The 23973-nt window shown below is 42.1% G+C and overlaps 1 pseudogene, besides 1 other annotated feature; it reads left to right on the top strand.

The window, feature by feature from the left end:
- Positions 72–131: a silencer, noted in NCBI's record as "silent region_18529". NCBI's record gives its function as "represses an Ori minimal core promoter by ATAC-STARR-seq in GM12878 lymphoblastoid cells {active_cell/tissue: GM12878}" and the evidence as "EXISTENCE:reporter gene assay evidence [ECO:0000049][PMID:35858748]".
- DCAF13P1 (DDB1 and CUL4 associated factor 13 pseudogene 1) lies at positions 12731–15301 on the top strand (annotated as a pseudogene).

The following is a 23973-nucleotide window of genomic DNA, read 5'->3' on the forward strand; positions in this document are numbered from 1 at the left end:
CGCACGCGTGTACGCGTGCGCTCGTTGGGCCCGCGCCGCGCTTCCGGACCCGCGCGACTGCGAAGAGCCCTGACCCGGGGGCGCCCACGCCCGCTCCTGCGCAGCTTGGGGGCGCTGGCCTCAGAGACACCCTCACTTGACCCCGAGCTCACCACAGCTGAGCTCACTACACCGAAGCTGACCTCTCCTTCCCTTAACAGATCTCAACTTTTTTATGAATTTATAATGTATTGGCACAGATGAAGTTGTGTTTCAAGGCATGTGTTAGGGGCCTTTGATTAAAATTGCAAAACAACAGACTTCTGGCTACCGTGCTGTGGGGTGCCTCGAAAGTGTGAATCACCAAATATTCGTATGGAAATTAGGTTTATTTTCAAAGTTACCATCGCAGCCATGGTTGAAAAATGAAGTAAGTTTATACCTAAAAGGAAAGGCGTGGCCGGACAGGCCCTCGGTGACCTACACTTTCACCTCTTCTACGCTGTCGGTCGACAGTCCTCTTTTTAAGGCATCGTTGGTATCTTTCTTCAAGAAGCTGACCCCTTTAAGATTCGGCTTAGGTGATACTTTCCTCTTGGCACGCAGTTACGGGAGCCCCAAGGTAGTGTGATCTCCTTCCTGGCTTCTTCAGTACCTGGAAAGTTCCTGGACAGCTGGAATGTGGTCATATTCGTGTATATGAAAAACCAGCTTCCAAGGACTTACCTGAATTTCAAGCACGAATATGATTTGCAGGCTACTTGCCACTGAGGTTATTCCGTCAGGGTTGACAACTGTTATTGAACGTCCTTGTAGTAAGCGAACCCTTTCTCTTTCGAGACCTATCTCCTTGTTTGCTGTCCAGAGAGTGCAAAAAATACATTTCATTTTCTATGCAGACAGAGACAATCTTTATGTTTATCTTGGCTCCCGTTCCTCAGTCCCCAGCACAGTCAGTGCTCAATGAGCACCTAATGGCATATCTCATTTTGAAATAACATTAAGAACTGGGCGCGGTGGCTCACGCCTGTAATCCCAGCACTTTGGGAGGCCGAGGCCGGCGGATCGTGAGGTCAGGAGTTCAAGACCAACCTGGCTAACATGGTGAAACCCCGTCTCTTATAAAGATACCAAAAAAATTAGCCTGACGTGGTAGCACGCGCCTGTCATCCCAGCTACTCAGGAGGCTGAGGCAGGAGAATCGCTTGAACCGGGAGGTGGGGGGGTTGCAGCGGGTTCCTAATGGATGGTTGCAGATTTCTCCCACTAAGCAACAAAGCATCATAGATACCCCTTAGGGCTAGGTGAGTGGAAGGTGACCATACACTGCTACCTGGTGCGTCTGAGACCACGATGAGCGGTGCTCCAGGTCTTCCAGCTTCCTCTCTCTCCTTTTTTTTCTACTTTGTTTCTGTATCTTCCTCTCAGTACTTCTCTTTTTGTTCTCTTTAGCCCGTTTTTCTAAGCTTTTACTCTCATTCTGTTGCGGTCTTCTGGGTAGGCACCTGGGGACGGAGTAGTGAATAGTAAGACTATTTAGCTTGAGCTTCATATTCACGAATATTCAAATTAGACTCTTAATGTTATTATTATTATTTTTTTTTTTTGAGACAGAGTCTTGCCCCGTCACCCAGGCTGGAGTGCAATGGCGTGATCTCAGCTCACTGCAACCTCTGCACCCCCGGGTTCAAGCGATTCTCCTGCCTCAGCCTCCCGAGTAGCTGGGATTACAGGCACGTACCACCACGTCCGGCTAATTTTTTTGTATCTTTATTAGAGACGGGGTTTCACCATGTTGGCCAGGTTGGTCTTGAACTCCTGACCTCATGATCCGCCACCTCGGCCTCCCAAAGTGCTGGGATTACAGGCGTGAGCCACCGCGCCCAGCTCTTAATGTTATTTCAAAATGAGATATGCCTTGACAGATTAGAGATATGTTCACATGCAGCTTTATTAATTAAAGATCTAAAACATACCATGACTTAGTAAACCAATATTGGCATCTCTTCTTCTTTTTGTTTATTGAAGGCCTTAGAAATTGGAATTGGCCAGGCCCTTTCTCAACTTCCGCGCTAAACTTTCTGTTGCTTCTGTCTGCCTCTCCTCACTTTCTCTCCTGCTTCTTGTTCAAGCCCACCAGTGGAAGGCATGGTGGTTACATTTCCTCAGGAAACCTTCAGTGCTAGAGTAACTCCTTGAACTTTAAGAAGGTTCCTTCCTTGGCCCTGTGGCACTCGATTTTAAAGATGGAGACCACCGAGGGTGAGCAGAACCACATCTGGTCACTTATCAGAACTCATTCGCAGAATCTCTCTTGAGCAGAAGGAAACAGAAGTGAGCCGCCACTGCTCACCTTCAGTCACAGCCTAGCACTGCTTCTGCCAGTCAGCTGAGCTCAGGGGCCTACCTTCCTGAGAAGGAACTGGCCGTGACTGGCAGAGCCAGTGAGATCTGATTGGGCAACAAGATAATTGTGATTTTTTTTTAAATCCTCCTCAAACAAAAGTGTTTAAACAATAGCATCTCATTGAAGGCACAACTGTTCAAAATCAGGGAAGAATGTTCAGATGACTGTATCACATTGACTACAACACTGGTCATTTTCTGATTTGTTCCTCAAATCTGAGGAAAGAGCCAGATGCTCTGGGAACAACATGTTCCAGGTCTACTCTACCAGGGCTATTTGGAAAAGAATCCCTGTAATATAAAATGGTTCTGTCTATCTGAGGTAGTATTATTGAGCTTTATCTGTGGTGGTATAATTATGGCTAAGTTACCTACATAATTTGTCATTGTTTTACTTTCTCTCTGTGGCTTTGAACACATGTGCCAGACTGTGACACTTGGGATTTAGGAATGCTCAGAAGGCCAGAAAGGAAACTATATTTAGTCAACCATATATTAACTATATTAGACATCTCATTGGCTAACTATAATATTTTTTGTTTTTCTCAATGGGAATACAAAGTTTTGGTCATCTTATTGGCAAGATGAGACTTTGTAACTCATTCCCAACCAATATTTATCTCCTTTTCTGAAAAGATATTGTTTAATACCAAATTCAAAACCTGACTTTTGCTTATAAACACAAATAGGTGTTTTGTTTTCGCTAATGAATTCAATAATCATTTTAGAAAAATTTTAAGATAACCAAATTTATTTAAATTGTACAATAGATGGATTTAATAGGCTCAGTAAATTAATCTCAAAGTAATCTGAGGCCTCTTAAACTTTTCATTTTAAAACATATTTTGATTTATGAATTGCAAAGTACAAAGAGTTCTGTATACACTTCACCCAGTTTCCCCTAATGTTAACATCTTCTATAACCATCATACATTTGTCAAAACAAAAAAAATTAGTATTGATGTGTTACTACTGACTAAACTAAAGAATTTTTCAAACTTCATCAGTTGTCCACTAATGTCTTTTTTACTCCCCCAGGATCCAATCCAGGAAACCACATTTAATGTAATGAGTGTCACAGGTGATCAGAAACTATCTGGGGCCAGTGGTACAGGCAGTAAGAAGAATTTACCAAGACAGTCGTAGGTAAAGAAAGGCAGATTTATTTGAGAACGTAGGAAAATGTATTGCAAGGGTGCAACAGGCAGGTCAGCGAAAGAGGAGCTGACTGCAAAGAGTCAAAAGCTTGCTAGGGATTTTATAGGATGGTGCTTGTGCTCTGCGCTTGAAGAAGACTTTGTGCAGTATTGGTAATGCCGAGGTTGCAGTGAGCTAACTTGCATTTTTCTGTCAGCCAAGAGTCAGGTGGTAGCTCGGCACAGGAAGATTGTGAGTGATTTACACATGAGGGCTATGTGTCCTGGACCATGAAGAAAGGCAGACTTATAGCTTATCTATCTGCTTTCTCGTTTTGCTTTCCCCTGGTCCTGCCAGCCTGACTCCTTCTCCTGAATTAGGACTCTACCTTTCTTCACACCCTGACAGCAACAATGACTAATCTTTGGCATGTGGTTAAAGGTCTCATCTTCCAACTGCTTCTTGCTGACCAGGGGTGTATAGTTGGCCCTACCTAGGATTGTTAGTCGGTCAGGAGGTTATGTACACCTAAATCCCTGAGTTGGGACTTAAATTGGTCAGGGTTGCTATGAGACTATGGGAGAACAGCATTTGTAGCCTAAAATTTTGTTCTGCTGCATTCAAAGGAAAGTTATGTAGCTGATACCTTTGCTGTAGTACTGTTTTGGTTTGAAATTGTTGTATCCTAGAAAACACAAAATCAGATGTAGAATTAACAATACAGTATGCAAATAAACAAACTAATATGAGCTTTATTATAGGCAGAAGAAGTTGAGCAACCCATGGCCAAATTTAACTGGAGAAGCTTTGAAATAGTTGTGCTGAAAAGGAATCTTGAGGAACTCTGTTTTGAAGGCCCTTTAATATTTTTATGTTGTCTGTTATCTTTTCTAAACTTTCTTCTACCTGACCTGAGTTACTGATGTAAAAGCAACAAGTTTTATTTAACAGCATGCAGGTGCCTCCTGCTTCAGCAGGAAGCACCTCCTAAGTGAGTTGGTTCTGCAAAACATACCCTGCCAGCGAGTTCAGGGCCTGCCATTGGCCTTCAATGGCCGTGATTGTAGCTTCCCAAGATTGCTGGACTAGGATGGTGAGATTATGAATACTGCACTTAAGCATGGGTATATCTGCAAACCAAAAGATTGCACTGGCTACAGAATGTCCTAGGTCATTTTTCTCTATGACAGGATTATTATTGGCGAGGATGCTAAATGATGGGAGACTAAGTACTGCTTCTGATGTCCTTTGGAGGGACCAACATAAGAAGGATTTTAAATTTGGAGCTTGGCTAGAGGTTACGAAGTCTGAGGAGTTATATATGTGCACTCCAGATATTGCTGCAACTGTAGTGTAAGTGCCTCTTCACTTAATAGACAAGGCTAGAAATATGTTAGATCTGTATAAAAAGAAGAACCCAGTTCCTTTTAATGAAACTCCTGAAGAGGAACCTCACAACCAGGCATAGGTGTGATTAGTTTAGATTCCCGTATGGTTTGCATAAATAGAGGGATCCCATGGTCCCCTGGGATTAAATGTGGATGGGCAGTGACCCAAAAAGTAGTTATCCACGCATAAGGGGGTAAAAGTTTGACTTGTAGTGTTATGTGAATGTGGGGCCTGACAGATATGATTTTTGAATATTAATGGGATAAGAGAAAATTGAGGAAAAGATGTAGATGTATTAGTGAAGTTGAGAAGTCGTCCAGTTTTGACTGCTATTTCTATATGTTCCATCCTGGCTGCTGAACTATTTATAGGCATAAAGGAATTGTTATAAATCTTTCTGGCATGAACTTTGTTGTTTCCTCACCATAGAGAAAAACTGTGGAGGTACACAGTGAACTTGTTAAGAGTCATTGCATGGCTTCCATTCTGGTTTGTTTGATCATAGCTGACAGTGTAATTGCAATGGACTTGTGTGTTAAAGCCCCTGGGAAAGGGCCAGACTCCTTGGAATTTCTAGCATTATAAGCCATCTCTGGTGCCCTCCCTATTTGCTCGGTCACCGTGGGTGATTGGCATGAGGGATCGATTGGCCTAGGTTTACCTCATAAACCTGTATTTTTGGTGTGCGTGTACCTGGCGTAGTTGAATCCAGAGTATTTGGCTTGTGTGTTAGCAATTTCTTCTATAGATAGTGGAACTGCTAGGAGTGTAATGTCATTCTCGAGTGACTGCCCACGTGAGCATATCCAGCGGTTAGTGCTGTGTGTTGTGTTAGCAACCTGAGATATTACTGGTTATAGTGGGTGCTTGGTGTAGCCATGGAAGCAATAGTTAGCCATGACAGACAGAATAAACACAGAAGAATATTTAAGGAAAATGACAATATACAGTAAACTTAGGGAGACAGGAAAGAAGAAAGGCTGTAAAGAGTATGAAAAAAACCAAACAATTAGTACCTCAGCATATCAATGTTGTGGCATGGGGGTAAATAACATTGCTAGGACAAAGATAAAGAAATTTCCCCTGGGCTGTAGTTTTGGAGGTCGGCCTGCAAATAGCAATTGTGTACTATCTCCCTTATAAAAGCATTAATATCAACAGGGTGAAGCTGCTCAAGAGAGGCAGTTGGATAGTTACTGAGAACTTGCAGTAGAATTGAATAAAAAGAGTCAGCTTTAAGAATAACGTTTAAGGGCCAGTCACGGTGACTCACTTTGGGAGTCCCAGCACTTTGGGAGGCCAAAGTGGGCAGATCACCTGAGGTCAGGAGTTTGAAACCAGCCTGGTCAAAACGGTGAAACCCCTTCTCTCTTTTTTTTTTTTATTATTATACTTTAAGTTCTAGGGTACATGTGCACAATGTGCAGGTTTGTTACATATGTATACATGTGCCATGATGGTGTGCTGCACCCATTAACTCGTCATTTACATTAGGTGTATCTCCTAATGCTATCCCTCCCCACTCCCCCTACCTCATGACAGGCCCCGGTGTGTGATGTTCCCCTTCCTGTGTCCAAGTGTTCTCATTGTTCAATTCCCACCTATGAGTGAGAACATGAGGTGTTTGGTTTTCTATCCTTGTGATAGTTTGCTGAGAATGATGAGGTGAAACCCCTTCTCTACTAAAAAAACTACAAAAATTAGCTGGGCGTGGTGACACGCACCTGTAGTCCCAGCTACTTGGGAGGCTGAGGCAGGAAAATCACCTGAACCTGGGAGGTGGAGGTTGCAGTGAGCCAAGATCAGGCCACTGCACTCCAGCCTGGGCGACAGAGTGAGTCTCTGTCTCAAAAAAAAAAAAAAAAAAAAAAAAAAGAATAAGGTTTAAAGGAGGTGCTGGATTTATTTCCATTAACTTTAAGGGAGATTTAAAAATTCTAGGTTGTTTGGTTTAACAAAACCTCTTTTACCTTTTTTAAAAATTTAAATGAGTTTCCAATGTTTACCTTCTAGTTAGAACGTAAATAATGAGTATCATCTCAGCACTAGCAGCTGAGTAACAGCAGATTTAAAGCAGGCAGAAAAAAAGAGAGGAAGATAGAGAGCTTTAGAAGACTCTACTTAACTCTATAGTGCAGGTTAACCATTTGAGCTATGAATTTTTTTGTTGTAGTTTTTCCATCAGTTTAAAATGTGCACAAAATTATAATAGTGAAAGAGATCCGATCTAGCCCACCTGCCCCTCTTGCCTTTAGCTTGTAAGCTGCCTTAATCATTCCAGGGCTTTTGGGCTGAGTTAATTTTAGAAGACATCTGGGTTATAGTTTAATGATAATAGCCCTTCCCCCAAACTCAAACACCTTTTTAAAGCTAATGAGTGGCCATCAGGCTAGGGGGTGGAGAGGAGCCTGATTTCTGCTAAGGCGTAGCCAGCCATTCCTGTAGATAACACCACTATTGTAGGTTGGCTTTTTGAGGTATCTTTTCAGGTTTTTTGAATGTCTGACACCCATGGCTCTACCTGTACCCACCAATCCCACTCCTGTGACCTCACCCAAAAGCGATTCAGTGTGCAGGAGGACAGCTTCCACTCCCTATGATTTCATCTCTACCCCAAACAATCAGCAGCAACCCCAGCCACCCCCACCCCTCTCCTAAACTGCCTTTGAAAAACCCCTAAACTACGATCTTTGGACGAGGCACGTGGCATGGCTGGCCTCATGTCTATTAAACTTTTTCTGTACTGTAATGCTGTACTCTTTCTTTGTACAGCAGGCAGGAAAAACTCCTCGGGTGGTTACACAACCAACCCAAAACTCAGGACTCAAACCCCTGTATGGCTGTTGTTCTACTGGATGGGCCTGGGGCTCAGATGTTCCTCTCATACAAGGAATGAACCTCTGGTTTGGCTACTCCTGTATTCCCTCACTGGGAACACACAGTCAGGTGCGTCTGTCCCACAGGGCCATTCTAAGGGTATGTTCAAGTTATTCCTCTCAGGGGCATTTACCCTACACTTTGACAAGAGGTTTAACCTTCCTAAGTTTCCATTTTCTCATTCCCATTTTGCAGACAGGAAATGAGAGTTGTAGTGGGATTTAAATTTTATAATCATAAGAGATCATTTAGAAGAGTGCCTGGTACAGACTAAGAACTGAGGAAATGTTACCCGTTCTTGCCACTGTGTTCCAGAAACAGTGGAGTGGGTGCATCAGTCTTCTGATTGGGTGGGTAGGAAGCAGCTAAGACTTAGTGCTAGAACAAAAGTCATTTAAGGAAATCAGACTTTGGTTAGAGCGAATTAGAGTTGTAAGGAAGAATGTTCCATTGATAAAATGAAAGAAATATGAAATGAGAATATAATTCTTGAAAGCAAATAAAATGCAGTTTTTCATTACTGAAAACTATGTGGGGCAGAGGTCATGCTAATCCTCCCTGTGTGGGTCTACTTTTAGTCTATTTGTGTCATCACCATTTCAAGCTTAGCTCACATTTAAGCAGTGAATAGACAGGGAAAGTCCTCTAATTTGTAGCAGTTAATTTTATTTTTATTTTTATATTTTTGAGACTGAGTCTCACTCTGTCACCCAGGCTGGAGTGCAGTGGCCCAATCTTGGCTCACTACAACCTCCGCCTCCTGGGTTCAAGCGATTCTCGTGCCTCAGCCTCAAAAGTAGCTGGGATTACAGGCATGCGCCACTGCACCCAACTAACTTTTGTATTTTTAGTAGAGATGGGGTTTCACCATGTTGACCAGGCTAGTCTCAAACTCCTGGCCTCAAGTGATCCACCTGCCTCATCCTCCCAAAGTGCTGGGATTACCGGCATGAGCCACTGTGCTGGCCGAGGTTATTTTTATAATAATCATTACAAGTACTGTAATTAAGTTTCTAAAAAAAGGCTTATTGTGTAATAACTATTTTATAATAACATAACTTGGCCTTTGAATAGTGCTTTGCCTTTTTCAGAGAACTTTCAGGGTCATTTTTTTATGTGATCTTTGAGTTACAGTATGGTGTAGGAATTATAATCCACATTTTGCTAATGCAGAAACTGAAGTTCAGAGGGAAGAAAGTGTATCAGAAAAGGCTTCCTAGGGGAAGTGACACAGCACTGTAGCTTGAGAGATGTGTAGGTGATTCCTCAAGTAGATGGGGGCTGGGGAGTTTTCAGCAGAGGTGCTGCAGAGGGTAGGGCATAGTGATAGAGGAGGGGGAGTTCTATAGTGGGACCAAATACTTTGATATATCTGATGCTTTGGGTTAGGGGAGCAGTGTAGAGTCAGGGCTTTGTATATCAGGCTAGGAGTTTGGACTATATTCTCTGCTAGGGAGGTGCTTTTAGGCAAAGGAGAGTAATATGATCAGATTTCAGTTTAGGAAGATCACTATGTCAGTAGTGTAGAAGCTGAACAGGCAAGGTGTTTAGGTGGTAGGTTCAAGCTAGCTGATATTTTCTAAACCTATTGGTCATGAGGTCTCAGTTCCCGGGTATGGTGACAATGAGCAAGTGTAGACAGCCAGGTTGGCACTAGCAGCATAAACTGCTTGTGAAAAAAGCACAGCATTTAGACACAGAAACCACTGGCTCCTGTCCTGGATTTGTGAGATCTACAAATTTTCCTGGAGCATTTGCCATTTAATTTCCTTTGGCTTACCTCATCTGTGTAATGAGGGTATTTATATGGCATCAGCTTTGCATATGTTAACATTGATGAAATACTTCAGATAAAACAAATCGGAACTTGGGAATGAAAACAGATATGAAGAAGCCACAGGCTTGTCCCAAAATCATAGCCAAGGATGGATGGAGGGCTTAGCAGGTTACCTATGCTATATGAGCAGGGTTGATAAGAGGTTTTAAGATCCAGTTTTGAGCAGCCTCTCTCATAAATAATTATTCAAAGGACTTGCATGTTTTGTTGTCTCCCTGAGAAGCAGAGTGCCCACAAAGATTTATACAGAGTTTTCAAGTTTAACATTGTATTATAGCCACCACTCTCTCTTGAAATCAGGTGGAAAGCAAAACAAAATGTCCACTAGTTCTGAATGAATGGTTTATTTATCCTATTTGCAATTGCACAGAGAACTGACTTCCTACGAAGAAGAAAACAGTTGATAGATCTTCTGAGACAATAAACTGGGTGAACGAGGGGCTTTGTTTTAAGTGTGCTAGACAGAATTTTTCCAGGATCTGAACTTCCTGTACCTAGGGTGGGAAATCCAGAAATATACAGTAGCCCTTCCCTCCTAATTCTAACCCTGCAGAATTTGTGTCAGAACCACCAAGATCAGATTCTGAGTGGCATCATAGCATTTATTAGGAGGGAACAGATCACTGAAGGTGACCACTTTCAATGTTAGCTAGTCACATACCCAAGATGTCTGTGATCTTATCAACAACAGAAATCGATCTTCTAACATGATGCAAAGAGGGGAAAGAAAGAAATGCCTGAGTGGAGGCTGGCCAGGAAAATTCTAATGCTGATGAATTGATGGCAATGGAAGTTTGTATATCATTTCTCTAGCAGGCATAGGAAGGTACTTTACACAGTAGGTGGGTTTCTAGAAAGTTAACTATTTTTATTTATTTATTTATTTTTGAGTCTCACTCTGTCACCCAGGCTGGAGTGCAGTGGCACGATCTCAGCTCACTGCAACCTCTGCCTCCCAGGTTCAAGCGATTCTCCTGCCTCAGCCTCCCAAGTAGCTGGGACTACAGGCATGCGCCACTGCACCCAACTAACTTTTGTATTTTTAGTAGAGATGGGGTTTCGCCATTTTGGCCAGGCCAGTCTCGAACTCCTGACCTCAGGTGATCCAGCCACCTCAGCCTCCCTAAGTGCTGGTAGAAACTTAACTGTAATTTTTTCAAATGGAATTTTCTTTTAAATACACTTTACGAGTTGGTCATTTAAAGGAATATTTTGGAGAATCTGCTTGTGAACATTCTTTTTTTTTTTTTTTTTTTTTTGAGAGAGAGTCTCACTCTGTTGCCCAAACTGGAGTGCAATGGCGTGATCTTGGCTCACTGCAACCTCCACCTCCCAGGTTCAAGCGATTTTCCTGCCTCAGCCTCCTGAGTAGGTGGGATTACAGGTGTGTGCCACCACACCTGGCTAATTTTTGTATTTTTAGTAGAGATGGGGTTTCACTATGTTGGTCAGGCTGGTCTTGAATTCATGACCTCAGGTGATCCATCCACCTCAGCCTCCCAAAGTGTTGGGATTACAGGCGTGAGCCACCACACTCGGCCTGCTTGTGAATGTTGTTTATGTTTCATGGGCTTGTATTTTTTTATACTTTCCACCCATTCGAATTTTTTAAAGTGATAAACATTTGTCATTAATTGTCTTACAAGCTCAATAAATTGGTCTTTGCTTTCTGACGCAATTTGTTATTGTTGCTATTTTCCTTGAGGGAAAAGCAAGGTTTCTGTGTTTGTATTTAAACCCCTCTGCTTTCTTATTTTTCTTTGTTGATTTTTTCCTCTCCTAGTATGACCAATGGTGAGAAGCCTGAGTTTATTGATTTTGACTAGGAATTTACTGACTTTGACTTTGTAATCAAGGCAGGTGACCACCTTTTTGATGAGGCCTGAGAGAATAAGAAAAGTCCCAATCACCCCACCACCCACCTACGGAAATATATATACACCCCATGCCACTGTCACACTGACCCTGAAATGCCATCATAATACATTCTCTATCTTAGGCTAACGGCTTCATGTTCTAAAATACAAATACCCTGGAGAATTACTGGATTAAATGGTCTATTACAGCATAATGCTTCAATGAGAAATTATCTGAATATTTTTCTCCTGGCAGTAAAAAATAAAATAATGGGAGTTTTAATGGGAGTAGAGCAAGAAAGAGATAGTCTTGGAATCTGGGCACCATCCCAGGAAGACAGACTTAACTAAAGGGAAAAGTTCTAGGCTGCCAAAGAGCTGTAAAAGGGATAGTGAATGCCTGGGAAGTATGATGGAGAAGCTGCTCAGTATTGAAAAAAAGGAAAATGCAAAGCAGAGCTAAGGCAACTTGGATTTATGATACAAGTTAGCTTGGGGAAGACTGAACTCTTAGTATCTTTCATTTCATTATTTGCCAATCATTTGAGAAGAAAAACCTGAACATTTCATACATTCCTTCTAGCATTTACTGATCACTCATATGTACTGGACACTTTGTTAAGTGCTGATCATACAAAGTAGACCTCAAAGAGTTTATTTTAAAGGGAGAGATAGGGCTGGGCGCAGTGGCTCATGCCTGTAATCCCAACACTTTGGAAGGCCAAGGCAGGTGGATTGCTTGAGCTCTGTAGTTTGAGTCCAGCCTGGGCAACATGGTGAAACCCCATCTCTACAAAAAATACAAAAATTAGCTGGGTGTGGTGGCCTGAGCTTGTAGTCCTAGCTACTTGGGAGGCTGAAGTGGGAGGATGGCTTGAGCCCAGGAGGTGGAGGTTGCAGTGAGCCAAGATCACACCACTGCACTCCAGCCTGCGTGACAGACCCAGGCCCTGTCTCAATAGAATAGAATAAAATAAAATAAAATAAAATAAAATAAAGGGAAAGATAGGACAAAAACTATATATATTTTCAAGTTGTGATAAGTGCAGTGAAGAACACAAAACGTGCTTTTTATATATATTTTTTTGTTTTCTGCTTTACAATTAGATTGCCCTGCAAAATCTATGGCAAAACAGAGAAAAATTGGTAAGGGCTGCAGTCTTCATAATCTACATAAAAACTATGATTGACTCAGGTCCTGTAGGAGGAAATTTCTGGGGATAATCCTGTGACACTCTCAGTACTCTTTGAAATTCTATAGAGCAAAGAGCTTGTGGAGTCTGGCAGGAAGAGCAACGAAGGTGAAGGTGAAGACATTGAGCTGGAATCCGGACAACTATGTCCGCAAAACCAAGTTGGACTTACAGATTATTCCAAGAAACTGTGATCCTACCTTACATCCTTTTGAGGTCCTGCAAGAATGTGTAAGAGTTTTAAATGCTACCAAACTGGAAGGAGTATTTGCAAAACCATGCCTGGCTTGGCTGGATGGTCACGAGATGGAGTGAGTTGCTTGGCAAAGCATCCAAAGATCCTGGCTACTCTCCTTTCTAGGGGATGTGATGGAGCAGTTAGAATTTGGAACCTGACTCAGCTGAAATGTATCCGTATAATACAAGCACATGAAGGTTTTGTACAGGGAATACGTGCTCACTTTTGTGGGACTTCTTTTTTCACTGTTGGTGATGACAAAACTGTGAAGCAGTGGAAAATGGATGGGCCAGGCTACGGAGAGGAGGAAGGGCCATTACATACAATATTAGGAAAGACAGTGTATACTGGGATTGATCATCACTGGAAAGAAGCTGTTTTTGCCACATGTGGACAGCAAGTAGACATTTGGGATGAACAAATAACTAATCCTATAAGTTCAATGACCTGGAGATTTGACAGTATAAGTAGTGGTAAATTTAATGCAATTGAGACATTTATCTTGGGAAGTTGTGCTTCCGACAGGACTACAGTACTGTATGATATGAGGCAAGCTACTCCTCTGAAAAAGGTTATCTTAGATATGAGAACAAATACAGTCTGTTGAAACCCTATGGAAGCTTTCATTTTTATGGCAGCAAATGATGATTATAACTTATTTACTTTTGATATGCGTGCACTCATGTAATGGTCCATATGGATCATGTATCTGCAGTGCTTGATGTGGATTACTCTCCCACTGGGAAAGAGTTTGTGTCTGCTAGTTTCAATAAATCTATTTGAATCTTTCCTGTAGATAAAAGTCAAAGCAGGGAGGTATATCACACAAAGTGAAAGCAACATGTTATGTGTGTAAAATGGACTTCTGACAGCAAGTATATTATGTATGGATCTGATGAAATGAACAGTTACCTATGGAAAGCTAATGCTTCTGCAAAATTTGGTATGCTTACATCACAAGAAAAAGCAGCCAAGTATTATAACCAGAAACTGAAGGAGAAATTTCAGCGTCATCCTCATATACAACCGATAGCTCGTCATTGACATCTACCAAATTCTGTCTACAGCCCAATTCAGGAACAGTGCATCATGAAAGAAGCTTGTCGATGAGAGGAAGTGAATCACGTTAAACACAGCAAGCCTGGATCTGTGCCAATTGTGTCAGAGAAGAAGAAACACATAGTGGCAGTTGTAAAATAATATTTGGTATTCCTAACAATCCTGATGTATAATTAGTTGTTACTTTGATTTGAGAACTCTACAAATAAAAGTGCTGGGACTAGATTAATGGTAAACATTTCAGTTATGTATGTAGAGCTTTATTGTTGCTCCTTTTAGCTACCCTGATAAATGATTCTTAAAGGTGGCCTAGTTGATAAGACTGTCGTTTTATCCTTAATCTGTGTTCTTCTTTCATTGAAGGATACAGTACTTACAGTACTAGAAACTAACTCATTTTTTCCTGATTTTTTTTTTTTTTTTTTTTTTTTTTTAGACAGAGTCTTGCTCGGTCGCCTGAGCTGGAGTGCAGTGGCGCAATCTCGGCTCACTGCAACCTCCGTCTCCCAGGTTCAAGCAATTCTCCTGCCTCTGCCTCCCGAGTAGTTGGGACTACAAGTGCTAATTTTTGTGTTTTCAGTAGAGACAGGGTTTCACCATGTTGGTCAGGCTGGTCTTGAACTCCTGACCTCGTTATCCTCCCGCCTCGTCCTCCCAAAGTGCTGGGATTACAGGTGTGAGCCACTGCACCCAGCCATTTTTTCCTGCCTTTTGTTTTTGGAGATGGTGTCTCGCTCTTGTTGCCCAGGCTTGAGTGCAATGGTGCGATCTTGGCTCACTGCAACCTCCACCTCCTGGGTTCAAGCGATTCTCCTGCCTTAGCCTCCTGAGTAGCAGGCACCTGACACCATGTCAGGCTAATTTTTTTTTTCTTTTTTGTATTTTTAGTAGAGACAGGGTTTCATTATGTTGGCCAGGCTGGTCTCGAACTCCTGACCTCATGATCTGCCCGCCTTGGCCTCCCAAAGTGCTGGGATTACAGGCGTGAGCCACCATACCCGGCCTTTTTTCCTTTACAGATATACTTACTTTCTCTCTGATCTATTATTGTAGACACTGTACATTCAAATTGACATTTAAGACCCAACATTTCTTCTGATACCTTTAATATTACTTTGAAAATGATTGCAATGATGTTTCTTCCTATGATTCCACATAACATTTAGAAGAATGATGTCAACTGCTTATAACTGAATTTATTTCTAGTGCTTTATTTTTATTTGGCTTTTTGACTCTTTCAAAACAATCAACCTGCATTTATATAACTTTTATAAATAATATTATAATTTGGGTCAAGTTAAGATAATAAAACTTCCTTTCACCATTGAAAAAAAAAGAGAAATTCTGTAGACTCAACATTCTAAACACTGAGGGGCTCCTCAGAGCCAATTCTAATAATTAAACAGGTGTGATTAACTGCTGCCTGTGTGGTTTAATGTTAAACCCTACCTTCTGTTTGCTATGCCCACCCACTATACGATGCCCACCCTCCTGTTATATATCCCAAAATTCCAGGCTTGAGAATTCTAATAGACTGGCCTGAGAAGAAGAAAACAGGGAAATGTGATTAGTCATGAAGCAGCTGGTGACAAGGAGAGAGGAATGAGGAATATGCCCAGAGCCGTGGAAATAAACTAACAAGAAAACTGACTGAAGATGCTCCACGTAGGAGAGTGAATTCGCACCATTTCAACATCAGTAACTTAGGTAATGAGAAGAGGGAGAGTGGTGAACAGAATTCCTTTTAAGTTTAATAGTGTGGGGGCTGCATGCAGTGGCTCATGCCTGTAATCCCAGCACTTTGGGAGGATTGCTTGAGCCCAGGAATTTGAGACCATCTTGGGGAACATGGCAAGACCTTATCTCACTAAACACACACACACACACACACACACACACACACACATTAGCTGGGCACAGTGGTGCATGCCTGTAGTCCTAGCTACTTGGGAGGCTGAGGTGGGAGGATTGCTTGAGCCTGGGAGGTCAAGACTGTAGTGAGCTGTGATTGCATCACTGCACTCCAACCTGGGTGACAAAGCAAGACCCTGTCTCAAAAAAAAAAAAAAAAAAAAAAAAGCATAGCATGGGGATCCCATGCACGAAACTCCAAAGTAAGCCCTTGAGGACTTGTTGCTCAGTGTTAAGGTGGTACTATAAATATGTACTATGCATGCATAGTCCTAAACACTTACTTAGCAAAGCATGTGATTCCTAAAGCCATTAGAAGTAAGAAGACAGGGAGATAACTTAATGTTATTTTTATATTAAAAGTTTAATTGTACTATCATTAATAGAATACCAAGGAACTATGTAAAATATGTCTATGCCTTGTTCTCATGTACCTACTAGTGAAAGAGGCAGGAGAATTAATTAGAGCAATCAAATAAAACTATCTCCTCAGGTCTTTTAGTGGCACACATTTTTGTCTGCCCAGCATTCCTTGTGGGAAACATGCTCCTCCTCCAACACTCCAAAGTATTCCTGGTCATGTGGTTTGGGCCAGGGATAGTATGTGATGTAGGCTCAGCCAATCAGTATATTTTATTCCTCTCATCACAGTGACTGGCTCATGAAGGAGTATGTAATATATGACGGACCATTTGAAAGTCTCTGGGTGTTTTACCAGAGACTTTCCAGAAAAATGTCCCTTTTTTGGATCATAGGCTCTAAAATCTCTAGAGGTCTGGAACAGCCAGGATCCATCCATCTTGCTGCTACATAGAGGGGGCTAACTTGAAGATGAAGCAAAGTAGACGCAAAGAATGCTAGGAAGAATAGGGAATGGGGGAAGAAAGAGTCCAAACAGACATTTTGTCCATGCTAAGAGATCCTTGTGTGAATGAAGCTCAGTAGAAGGATACATTCCTATTAGCCTATTAGCAAGGGGACAGTTGGTGGGGCAGAGGGGGTATGACTCACTGTAGAACCACTTGTCCTTGTGAGGAGGGGCCAAGCTCCCCCAGGAAATTTACAGTGGTAGGGGAATGATGATAACAAGTCTGGGACTTACTTGAAGTTATTTGCCTTTCGGTAACTTCAAGACTGATGAATATGCACCCACTTTCCTGGAAGCCGTCTTGTGCCCTCTGCTGCCTTGATGTTAACTTGAGTTACCTGATTCACCTGAGATACTGTCAAAGTCCAACATAATGGTTTTGTTGTCTTACTCAAGTGTGCGACTTTAAGATGTTTGGAGGCAGGGCCTGTATCTCCCACTTCTGCATCTTCATGCTTCGCACAGCCCCAGAACCCAGTAAGCATTTCAGTGATGCTTGGATGAGTGAGTCTGATAAGGCGTATAGAAATGAAGCCCTGAAATATTAGCCTGAAAAATTCATGGCTTTGCATTGAAGTACTGCCTTTCCAAGCATCCTCTTAAAAAATACGAATACCCAGAAGAGACATAGCATGTTCAACTAGCGACCAGCAATTCTCATTTTTGGCAGTTATCAGAACAAAGGTGTCAGAAGTGTTAAACAGAACAACTCCATCTTCAATAGGAGCTGGGTAAAATAAGGCTGAAACCTACTGGGCTGCATTCCCAGATGGTTAAGGCATTCTAAGTCATGGGATGAGATAGGAGGTCAGTACAAAATGCAGGTCATAAAGACCTTGCTGATAAAACGGGTTACAGGAAAGAAGCCAGCAAAAACCCACCAAAACCAAGAGTGACCTCTGGTTATCCTCACTACTACACTCTCACCAGCGCCCTGACAGTTTACAAATGCCATGGTAATGTCAGGAAGTTACCCTATAAGGTCTAAAAAGGGGGAGGCATGAATAATCCACCCCTTGTTTAGCATATTATCAAGAAATAACCATAAAAATGGGCAACCAGAAGCCCTTGGGGCTGCTCTGTCTATGGAGTAGCCATTCTTTTATTCCTTTACTTTCTTAATAAACTTTCTTTCACTTTACTGTATGGATTCACCCTGAATTATTTCTTGCGTGAGATCCAAGAACCCTCTCTTGGGGTCTGGATTGGGACCCCTTTCCTGTAACAAAGAGAACTATAATAATTGGATTTTAGGCCATGTGCAGTGGCTCACACCTGTATTCCCAGCATTTTGGGAGGCTGAGACAGGCGGATCACCTGAGGTCAGGAGTTTGAGACCAACCTGCCCAACATGGTGAAATCCCTTCTCTACTAAAACAATTACAAAAATTAGCCAGATGTGGTGGTGCATGCCTGTAATACCAGCTACTTGGGAGGCTAGGCAGGAGAATCGCTTGAACCCGGGAAGTGGAGGTTGCAGTGAGCAAAGATTGCACCACTACACTCCAGCCTGGGTGACAGAGTGAGACTCCGTCTCAAAAACAAAAACAAAACAAAAACATAATTGGATTTTAAGGAACACTCTTTGTATGAAAGAAAGGGCATAGATTTGTGTAACTAATTTGAAAAACAGTTTGGCATTATTTCCTAAAGCTGAACATTCATCTGTGTATGACCCAAAAATTTCACTCCTAGGGATGGGACCAAAGGAAACTGCTGTGGTTCGAATGTGTTCCCCAGATGTCATGTGCTGGAAACTGAATCTCCAATGCAACAGTGTTGGTAGGTGGGACCTTTAAGAGGTGAGGGATTAATGCTGTTATTGTGGGACTGGGTTAGTTATCTCAGGGGTGGGTTCCTGAGGGATGAGTTTGGCCCCCTTCTCGTGTGTGAGCACTCTCTCTTGCCATGTGATGCATTCCACCATGTTATGATGTGGAGATTAATTCCCTTGAACCTCCAGAACTGTGAGCCAAATAAATCTCTGTTCCTTGTAAACTACCCAGTGTGTGATATTGTGTTATAGCTGCAGAAAAAGGACCAAGATAGAAACTTTTACAGATGTAAAACAGAAGATGTGTACAAGAATGTTCATAGCTGCCCTGTTTTTGATGCAAAAAACTTGGAAACAATTGAAATGCCTGTCAACAGGAGAGTGGATGGATAAATTGCGGTGTGTTTACATAACTATTGTAGGACCATAAAAACAAATGAACCACACTGATTCACAACAATGTGGACAACTCCTAGCAATAATAAAACATTAAGTGAAGAAAATAAATGCCCCAAATGTATATGATATGATATATAGTCATATGCCACATAATGACATTGCAGTCAGTGATGGACTCCATATATGACAGTGGTCCCATAAGATTATAATGGAGCTGAAGAATTGCTATCACCTAGCGATGTTGTCCTGAGGAATTGACTAACAAGAAGTTTTTGGAAATGGAACAGGAATGCATGGCTGAAGAAGAGGTAAGAGAAAAGGAAATTGTAGGAGAAGAAAAAGAAGAATCCCCAAGAAAATTCATGAAGGGTTTAGCAGAAGGTTTGCAAACCTCAACAAGCTCCTTAAAACGTTTAAAAACATAGACTCCAATGCAAAGTTTTCATTAATAGAGAGGAATTTTCATAGTGCAGTATCTGCTTATAAGCAAATCTTTGACCAAAAAAAAAAAGGAAAAACAAACCAAGAAAACCACCATGCATGTATTTCTGAAGAGTGACCCTCCTCAAGAAGAACCACAAGCAGGACCTTCAGGAGGAATTCCAGAAGAAGGCACTGTTATCATAGGAGATGACAGCTCCATGCATGTTACTGCCCCTGAAGACCTTCCACTGGGACAAGTTGAGGAGGTGGAAGACAGTGACATTGATGATCAGGAAGCTGTGTATGCCTAGGCTAAAGTGCATGTTTTTGTGTTAGTTTTTAACAGAAAAGTTTAAGAAATAGAAAATAAAAATTTAAAAGTGGAAAATTTGAAAAAAGCTGATAGAATAAGGATATAAAGAAAGAAAATACAATGTGTTCCTGTTTTAAGCTAAGTGTATTTCAAAGTTTAAAAAAGTTTATAAAGTTAAAAAGTTACAGTAAGCTAATTTATTATTGAAGAAGGAAAATATTTTTAAAATAAATTTCCCATTGCCTAAGTGTCCAGGGTTTATAATCTCTACAGTACTCTACAGTAATGTCCTAGGTCTTCACATTTGTTCAACACTCACTCACCGACTCACCCAGAGCAACTTCCAGTCCTGCAAGCTTTACCTATGGTAACTGCCCTATATAGGTATGTAATTTATAAATCTTTAATACTGTCTGTTACTTTACCTTTTGTATGTTTAGATACCCAAATACTTAGCATTGTGTTATAGTTGCCTACAATATTCAGTGCAGTGACATGCTGTACAAGTTTATAGCTTAGGAGCAATGGGTTATGCCATACAGCCTAGGTGTGTAGCGGTCTACACCATCTAGGTTTGTGTAAGTGCACTCTGTGATGTTCACACAGTGACGAAATCACCTAATTATGCATTTTTTGGAATGTATTCCTGTCGTTAAACGATGCACGATGTATTTTTCTAGAGTTACAATTAATATAAAAATAAGCTTTATAGAAATACATATAGGTGCAATAAAACTATATATTTCAAAAAGCCAAGGAATTCTCTGGATGATGGTGACCTTGTGTGTGTGTGTGGGGGGGGGGGTTGGGGGGGTGGCGGGGTGAGGGGTGTGGGATGTGGGCAGTGTATGGTTAGATGAAGTTTATGTCAAGGTTCCAGATTTTGTTTTGGATGGTAGGTTTCCAGGTACTTATATCATTAAGAATAATGAAATAAGAAACTAAGCACAAACATGACTAGAAAGCCTGGGTTCCCTAGGAAACTGTCTAAGGCTGATGCTTTATTTGGAAAGTGCAATCTCAGAGCATTGATAGTAGGGGAAAGTGAGGCAAGGAGGAAGGATAGGGAGCAATGCCGGGGTGCTTTGGCCTTACTTCATGAAGAGCTCTGCTGGTGAGTCAGCAGGTGAGCCTGTCCAGCCGCATAGGAGTCTTCAGGTGGGACAGGTCTGCCTTGGAGCAGTCCTTGGGTGGAAGAAGGGAGAGGAAATGAGCAGATTGGGTCTCTAATTGGAAGGTAACTTCTCTGGGGCACTACCTCTGGGTTGCTTATCTGGCCTCTTTTGGTGGCAGCCGGGAAACTAGATCTCACATCTTGTGTTTTATTTAAGTCTAGAAGTGGTGAGAGATGCCAGAATCTCAAGCCTGTGGCTTTTCTGCCTAGCTGCCCAGCAGCAGCAAGGGTATGGTCCCAGCCCTCCCTGGCAAGATGCTGGCTGGCCCCAGGCAGAGTAAGTTGGTGCTATGGAGGCAACTGAGTCAGAGCTGGCAGCCGAGGGTCTATGGGATGCCATGTGAGCAGGAGCTTGGGAGTCAGACCTACGTTTGAATCTCCGTGTGAACTTGGATCGATTTCTTAACTTCCCTGGAGGCTCATCTAGAATGTGGGAGTAGTGATAACCACCTCCAAGTGTTTCTCATATTAGAAAGGGATAATGTACATAATGCAACCAGCAGAATCTTTGGCATCTAATAAGTGCTCAAAACATGTAACTCCCCTTCGTCCTACCCCTGCCATGAAGCACAACTGAGACAGTATTGGGGGTTGAGGGTGGGCAGACCTGGCTTAATTCCCCTTCTCTCCTTGTCCCACCTGGCCCATTTCCTGGCCTTGGGCAGCCCAAGGGCACTGGGCCCTGTGTTACAGGATGAAGGGGAGAAAGACGCTTTGCACCCCCTTCCTAAGGTCGTCAGTCCTGAGGCTGCACCTTCCCTCTGTGCCCTTGATTTGAAAAGATACTGGGTTTAAAGAGGGATCGCAAACAAAGATGGGTGCTCCAAGCAGGCATATAAGCTGCTGTCCCCTTGAAATAATATTCGTCAATTTTTTGTCTAATATTTACTTTGGCTAGGGGCAAAGCTGGTCCAGCAGGACAAAGGCATCTTTCCCCAATATGTCAGGGGTTGGGCATGGAGACCCAAGGCCACTGATGGCAGATTTCCAATTTATTTAAGGGATGTGTCTGCTGTCTTCTGGCATGCTACCATGCCACCTGTTCACCTGGTTGTTTCTCATGTGTCTAGAGCCCCACAAAGGGTGACTAGGTCAGCCAGAGCTCTTGCTAGGCTTCCCTTTAATTCAGGATTACTTTTACTCTTTGGTCACATAAGAATATTCATTTCCTGATTTGCCTGTCTTATACGTTTAAGTGCTCGTGTATTTCATAACACCACTATAGGATCTTGCATTTGAATACTTACCAGGGACTAAAATAAATTCACACTGCTATTTTGCTGATGAAGTGTCCTATTGTGTAAGTGAAGTTTTTAATTTTGTAGGTTTAGATGAGTAAGTTAAAATTTTCCTTTCTGGTTCTTAATTTGTTTTCTAATTTGGGGTAAAATGAAGTTAGGTGGGGGCAGGGGAGAAATTTTCAAAAGGAGCTCTTCATATCAGTAATGCATATTTTATACATGCCCCAACTCCAAGACGCTTCTCCTCAGAGCCGTTTCAAGGGCAGAGAAGATTCCTGATCGCTAGATTGCCCCTGTTCCCTTTGAGTTAATCCTATGGCCTCCACAAGCATGTAGAAAATTCTGGAGGAGTGGTACTCCTTATGCTTTCACGAATTTTATTTGGCCTCCCCATTCTGGCTCACTTCTTGTGAATGCAGATTCAGTTGGCCCCAATTTCTTTCTAATGGGCAGGAATCAAAGGCGTAGAATGTTGTTGAAAGGTTTTGTACTATTGTGCAAAGTAGTACTGTACAAATTATCTTCTGCCTCTTTCTCATAAGACCTTTTGAGCAAAGCCCAATTCTAGAATTCTGGAATTCTACTGCTAGAACTTTCCTTTGGCTAAATTTTGATTGTTACTAAAAAATCAGTATGCCGGAGGACCACATTTTATTTATTTTTTTGAGACAGGTTCTCACTCCTGTTGCCCAGACTGGAGTGCAGTGGCACGATCACTGCTTACTGTAGCCTCAACCTCCTGGGCTCAGGTGATTCTCCCACCTCAGCCTCCTGAGTAGCTGGGTCTACAGGTGTGCACCACCACGCCCAGCTAATTTTTTGTATTTTTAGTAGAGACGGGGTTTTGCCATTTTGCCCAGGCTGGTCTTGAACTCCTGGAGTCAAGCAATCCACCTGCCTCTGCCTCCCAAAGTGCTGGGATTACAGGCGTGAGCCACCGCAGCTGGCCAGGACTGCATTTTAATTGTCCTAAGTCATTTGTGTCTTAATTTGAATGGCAGACAGCTTGTGTCAGTGGCTGCTGTGAGGACAGCCCTGGAATGGAGGTGAGGAGAGCCTGGAGTTAGGTAGCTCAGGACTTAGGGAGAACTTCAACTTTGGTAGGAGCCATCCCGGACCTGCCTACAGCTAGTAACATTTTGAACCTGAAAGCCTCCTCCTCCTTGCAGGTGTAAGCTGTTCCTTAGCCTTTAACTTTCAAATTAGAAATGTTTATTTAGAGTAGCAATGGAAAATAGAAGATAAGTTAGCAAAGCCAGCAGAAGTTGGAGAACTCATAAACAATAAAATATCAGAAAAGTGTTACCCAAAATGCAACATTGAAAAAAGGTAACATTAAAAAAAATCTCGAGAGCCAAGAATAAAGGTGCCTCAAGGGAAGTAACACATACCGTGATTTTTCTTGCACTCTCTTTTTCTTTAGCCCTGTGATACTGGTCTATCTTTTATGAAGGTCCTCTTTTATGAAATTCAATAATGGTAACTAATGTTAGGGTGCCTCCTGAGGCAACATGAGATTATATGGTAGGTAAACAGTAGGCCGTTGCTGACTCAAAGGAAAGGATCACTTAGGAACACCATTAGCCCAGTGCCAGTGGTCCCTTTTAGTCAGAATCCTCAATCTCTGTGGGGATCACCCTTTGGCCTGGACTTTATTAGCTGCCAGATTAAAGGCACGAGAATTGAGCCTCATTTTTTCCCATTTCTATTCTTAGATAATCCATTCATTCTTTTTCAATTTACCAGGACCAGTCCCAGAAAGTGTTGAGAACTGAGTGTGAGCAATAATCACTGATATTATATAGTTCCTTGTAGTTTGCAAAGCAGCTTTACATACATTATTGCATTTAGTCCTCCCAATAAGCCTGCAAAACAGGCATTATATTATTATTATCATCA

This window comes from Homo sapiens, chromosome 7 (assembly GCF_000001405.40).
Source record: "Homo sapiens chromosome 7, GRCh38.p14 Primary Assembly".
Taxonomy (NCBI): Eukaryota; Metazoa; Chordata; class Mammalia; order Primates; family Hominidae; genus Homo; species Homo sapiens.